The sequence below is a fragment of the Homo sapiens genome, chromosome 5 (genome assembly GCF_000001405.40).
Source record: "Homo sapiens chromosome 5, GRCh38.p14 Primary Assembly".
NCBI lineage: Eukaryota > Metazoa > Chordata > Mammalia > Primates > Hominidae > Homo > Homo sapiens.
In genome coordinates this window covers 110730895-110737279 of record NC_000005.10, presented here as the reverse complement: position 1 = coordinate 110737279, position 6385 = coordinate 110730895, and the positions used below count along the sequence as shown (strand labels likewise).

At 38.4% G+C, this 6385-nt stretch overlaps 1 protein-coding gene across 18 annotated transcripts in view; it reads left to right on the top strand.

Annotated features, from left to right (window-relative positions):
• The window catches only part of TMEM232 (transmembrane protein 232), a 351524-nt gene that overhangs the window by 1675 nt on the left and 343464 nt on the right, over nt 1–6385 (top strand). For all 18 annotated transcript variants that reach the window (XR_001742182.2, XR_001742181.2, XR_007058620.1 and 15 more), the window contains exon 2: nt 2265–2377. The gene's annotated coding sequence lies outside the window, so the exon portion shown is untranslated. The remainder of the gene's footprint in view (nt 1–2264; nt 2378–6385) is intronic.

Genomic DNA, 6385 nt, shown 5'->3' with positions numbered 1-6385 from the left:
TAATAATTTATTATTTAAAGTGTATATCCATACAGTTGTTTAACAAAAATATATTTATTAAGCACCTATCTCGTGTCAGATACTATTTTAAGCAATAAGGATAGAATGATAAATAAGCCAGACAAGGTGCTTGCATTGTTAGAACTGACATTCTAGTTTAGGGAGACAAAGAACAGATAAATATATCCTGTCAAATATAGTGCAATGTCAAATAATGACATGATTGTATTAAAAAAGCCTAAGTGAGCAATAAAGGAAGCTTTTTTTTTTTTTTTTTAGAATAAGGAAGTCCTCTCTGAAGAAGTGACCTTTGAGCAGAGAACTGAATGAAGTGAGGGAGTGAGCCATTTGTGAATATGTGGGAGAAGTTTTCCAGGCAGAGCTGAGCAAGAGAAACGCCCCGATAGCAAACTAGGTAGCCAGTGAGAAAGGGTGAAAGTGATAGGAAATGAGAGCTGAAAGGAGGCTAGGTGCCAGATCTTGCAAAGCCTTGTCGGTGGTGAACAAAATTTAGGTTTTTTGAGAGTAGAGGAGTAATGTGACTGTATTGATGTTTTATAGGAATCCACCTGGCTCTGTATGGGGAAGAGTAAAGGCTTCCACCTACTAAAGGCAAGCAGCTGAGGCAAAAAATAGTAATAATTTCATCTCGAGTGATAGTGTAATGGAGATGAGAAGGGTTTAGAGTGAAGATGTTTATAGATTACATTAGAGATGAGTATTAAATGACATGAAAATATTCATGTTCAATTTAAAACATGTACAGTATGAACTTACCTTTTAAAAATTCTACTAAAGATACACAATAGAAGAATGTGCTAAAATGATAGTATTATGTCTGAGCACGGGCTTGCATAGTTTCACTTTTTATTTAATTGCTCTAAAAACTTAGCTTTTTTTTGTAAGAAGAAAAATTATTTTAGAAAAAAATTAGAGCAAATTTGGTTATGGGCAGACACAGCAATAAAGATCTTTCTAGATTACTAAATCTGTTCATATCATTTAATCAGTAGTCTCTAGAGCACTATGAAAGCTCTATCATCCTGTATTTCTCCAAAATATTTCTAAAATAATTATGCTGAAATCGTCCAGAGTTTATTGCTTCAAACTAGTTTGAGAAACTCATAACACAGGAATTAAAACATGAATTTATAAAGTGGCCAATGCATTTTATGAAAACAACAGAATGTTTGTATTAGTTTCTATTGTGGCACAATGAATTACCCCCATAACAAATTGGGCAGCTTAAAACAACATTTAATATCTCATAGTTTCTGTAATTTAAAAATTTCAGAGTGGCTTCGCTGGATAGTTCTGCCTTAGGTTTCCCATGAGGTTCTAGTTAAGACTTCTACTTGGAATGCAGTCATTTTAGACATGACTGAGTTTGATTAGGGCTGGAGGATCCCCTTCTAAGATCTCTTACTCAGACAGCTATAGAAAGAATGTCTTTATTTCTTGCTGATTGCTGTTAATGAGGTTTCAATTCCTTGCCACATGAAGTTCATAGAACATCTTGAATGTCCTTATGACTTAACAGCTGGGAGACAGACAGCAAGGGGGAAACACAATGTCGTTTATGACCTAATTACACCTCATCACTTCTGCCATGTTCTATTTTTTTGGAAGAGAGTCACTAAGTCCAACCCTGCACTTAAAGGGGAAGAGGATTTGACTCTATCTTTTAAAGGGAGGATTATCAAACAATAGCATTTATATCATTAAAATGACTAAAATATTAAATCACTATATAACAATTAATGGGTGGAGGATATTATTAGGCACCAAAACTAATAATAAGGAAATTTTTAGCCCAAATATTAACAGAATAATATAGTTTTTTACTTTGTTCCTTAGTAAATAAAGGATTAATTTTCCTTGAAAATAATATGATAGAAATAGTATAACCACCCCCCAACGGGCTTAATACATATTTTCGAAAGTCCAGTCATTATTATTGTTGAGTTGAAATACAAATGAAAAGTTGCAGATTGTTTCAACAGTTTTCAAGAGTTGGCACAGAATGCTATGGTCCTACCAAACAAAAGTGCCTGTGCAGAGCAAGCAAGTCATTCATTTATGTTAACATTTTGCTCAAAAATTCTGATGCTAAATAAATTCAGCTCACAGGATAAAATAAAAATCACCTATATTTTTTATTCAAGAATTCACTCAGCAACATATATTAAGCACCTACTATGTGTAAACCACTGTATTGGGTACTGTGATGCAACTATACACTATTTTATTTATATCTTTTTTAGAGACAGGGCATCACTGTGTTGCCAAGGCTGGTCTTGAACTGGCTCAAGCAATCTGCCCACCTCGGTCTCCCAAAGTGCTGGGATTACAGGAGTGAGCCACTGCGCCCTGCCTGGTAAGTATTTTAAAAGGTGAAATTTAGTAATATTTTAAATATTTTACATGTAAAATAACTTGAAATAAGCAATTTTAAAAATATCTTTCAAACAATAGAGGTGTTTTTGTTTTCTTTTGTTTTTGTAAAATGATGTGATATAACAATCCACTATGGTGCATTTGATCCTGATTACATTGTTAGGGAAGTTAGGCAAAGCATATTTAACATCTACACACTTAATGGGACACACACAGTAAATGGAAGCAACCAAGAATATTTTAAATTGTGAATTGGGTATAAATTTTCTTAATTGCCGAGTTTATTCTTTTTCTACTTGATAGGCTATAGCATTTATGTTCAGAAGATGGTGATTCCCGAATTATTGGACTTAATTTTTCATCCCTCTACCATAGTATTATACTGTATGTCCATACCCTTGTCATAGCCTCATGATGGGCAGAGTGGACTTTCCTGCCCTTTGGGTAGTTGGTAGAGTGATATCCTTGGGCAGAAAGGTGTTAGTTAGCAGGTGTGACCCAAACAGAGGCTTTGCTCAGTTGGCTTGCCCGCTTGGGCTTCTGCCATAACCATGAGAAGCACCTCCTGAATAACCACTACCCCTTCACTCTGGGCTCCAGAAGGAGATATTTGGAGCAGACCTGAACCCAGCTGGAATTCTGGGGACAATCCCAGGTGAACCCAGCCAACATCACCAAAATCTAGCCAACCTGCACGCAGAGGAGTGAATGAGAAAAATAAATACTTGTATTTTAAACCACTAAGATTATTTTGGTGATAGGTGACTAACATGATGCTTATGCAGAATTTTAATTGAATTTTATTTTTAAAGTGTCCACTGTAGGATTAAATACTATCATCACAAACATGTCAACTAACTGTGTAAGAGAAATTTTATCTTTTAGTAAGTTTAAAAATGCTGTGAAAATTAACCCATTGGTACAAGAAATAATCTGAGTAAATGCAATATAAATTTCTTAAAATCTTGCTTTATCTTCTTTAACCTCTACTGGATTTTTATAAGTTGAATGACCATTTTAATATCATTTGACTTTTTAAAAAAGTTTATTTTAGGTTCAAGGGTACATGTGCAGGTTTATTATGTAGCTAAATTTATGTCACAGGGGTTTGTTGTACAGGTTATTTCATCACCCAGGTACTAAGCCTAGCACCCAATAGGTTTTTTTTCTGATCCTCTCTCTCCTCCCACCCTTCACCCTCAAGTAGGCCCCAGTGTCTGTTGGTCCCCTCTTTGTGTCTCTGTGTTCTCATCATTTAGCTTCCACTTATAAGTGAGAACATGCGGTATTTTGTTTTCTGTTCCTGCGTTAGTTTGCTAAGGATAATGGCCTCCAGCTCCATCCATGTTCCTGCAAAGGACATGATCTTGTTCTTTTTTATGGCTGCATAGTATTCCATGGTGTACATGTACCATATTTATGGGCAGTGATGGGCATTTAGGTTGATTCCGTGTCTTTGCTATTGTGAATAGTGGTGCAATGAACATACCTGTGCATGTGTCTTTATTGTAGAATGATTTATATTCCTTTGGTTATATACCTAGTAATGGGATTTCTGGGTCAAGTGGTAGTTCTGATTTTGGCTCTTTGAGGAACCAACGCACTGCTGTCCACAGTGGTTGAACTAATTTACACTCCCACCCAACGGTATGTAAGAGTTTGTTCCCTTTTCACTGCAAACCTCACCAGCATCTGTTGTTATTATTATTATTATTTTTTACTTTTTAATAATAGCCATTCTGACTGGCATGAGATGGGAACTCATTGTGCTTTTGATTTGCATTTCGCTGATGATCAGTGATGTTGAGCTTTTTTTCATATACATGTTGGCCACATGTATGTCTTCTTTTGAAAAGTTTCTGTTCATGTCCTTTGCCTATTATTTAGTGAAATTGTTTGTTGTTTTCATATATATTTGTTTAAGTTCCTTGTAGATACTGGATATTAGACTTTTGTCAGGTACACAGTTTGCAAATATTTTCTCTCATTCTGTATGTTGTCTGTTTTCTCTGCTATTATTTTACATTTGATTAGCTTTCCTTTCTCTTTTTGACAAATAAAAATTTCAGATACTGTTCCATTTATTCCCAGTAGCATTTAAAAATCCTAATGAGAACTCTAAATATTTGGCAACATGAAGAGAGGTATCTGATATGGTTCGTTGTGTCCCCACCCAAATCTCAACTTGAATTGTATCTCCCAGAATTCACACATGTTGTGGGAGGGACCCAGGGGGAGGTAATTGAATCATGGGAGCTGGTCGTTCCCATGCTATTCTCTTGATAGTGAATAAGTCTCACAAAATCTGATGGGCTTATCAGGGGTTTCCGCTTTTTCTTATTCCTCATTTTTCTCTTGCCACTGTCATGTAAGAAGTGCCTTTCACCTCCTGCCATGATTCTGAGGCCTCTGCAGCCATGTGGAACTGTAAGTCCAATTAAACCTCTTTTTGTTCCCAGTTTTGGGTATGTCTTTATCAGCAGCATGAAAATGCGCTAATACAGTGAGTTGGTACCAATAGAGTAGGACGTTGCTGAAAAGATAACCAAAAATGTGGAAGCGACTTTGGAACTGGGTAATAGGCAGAAGTTGGAATAGTTTGGAGGGCTCAGAAGAAGACAGGAAAATATGGGAAAGTTTGGAACCTCTTAGAGACTTGTCAGTGGCTTTGACAAAATGCTGATAATGATATGAATAATAAGGTCCAGGCTGAGGTGGTCTCAGATGAATATGAGGAACTTCTTCGGAATTGGGACAAAGGTGACTCTTGTTATATTTCAGCAAAGAGACTAGTGGCATTTTGCCTTTGCCCTAGAGATTTGTGGAACTTTGAACTTGAGAGAGATGATTTACAGTATCTAGTGGAAGAAATTTCTAAGCAGCGAGGCATTCAAAAGGTGACTTGGGTGCTGTTAAAAGCATTCAATTTTAAAAGGGAAACAGAGCATAAAAGTTCAGAAAATTTGCAGCCTGATGATGCAGTAGAAAAGAAAAACCTATTTTTTGAGGAGAAATTCAAGCTGGCCACAGAAATTTGCATAGGAAGCAAGGAGCCTAATGTTAATCCCCAAGACCATGGGGAAAATGTCTCCAGGCCATGTTGGAGACTTTCATGGCATCCTTCCATCACAGGCCTAGAGGCCCAGGAGGAAAAAGTGGTTTTGTGGGCTGGCCCCAGAGTCCCCATGCTGTGTGCAGCCTAGGGACTTGGTGTCCTGTGTCCCAGCTGCTCCGGCCATGGCTGAAAGGGGCCAGTGTAGAGCTTGGGCTGTGGCTTCAGAGGGTGGAAACCCTAAGCCTTAGCAGCTTCCATGTGGTGTTGAGCCTGCAGGTGCACAGAAGTCAAGAATTGAGGTTTGGCAACCTCTGCCTAGATTTCCGAAGATGTATGGAAACACCTGGGTGCCCAGGCAAAAGTCTGCTGCAGGGGTGGGGCCCTCATGGAGAACCCCTGCTAGGGCAGTGTGGAAGGGAAAGGTGGGGCAAGAGCCCCCACACAGAGTCCCTACTGGGGTACTGACTATTGGAGCTATGAGAAGAGGGCCACCATCCTCCAGACCCCAGAATGTTAGGTCCACCAACAGCTTGCACTGTGCACCTGGAGAAGCTGCAGACATTCAATGCTAGCCCATGAAAGCAGCCAGGAGGGAGGCTATAACCTGCACAGCCACAGGGGTGGAGCTGCCGAAGACCATGACCTGGAGGTGAGACCTGGCATCAAAGGAGATCATTTTGGAGCTTTAAAATTTGACTGCCCCAGTGGATTTCAGACTTGCATGGGCCCTGTAACCCCTTTGTTTTGGCCAATTTCTTCCATTTGGAATGGCTGTATTTACCCAATACCTGAACCCCCTTTGTATCTAGGAAGTAACTAGCTTGCTTTTGATTTTACAGGCTCATAGGCATAAGGGACTTGGCTTGTTGCAGATGAGACTTTGGACTGTGGACATTTCGGTTAATGCTGAAATGAGTTAAGACTTTAGGGTAC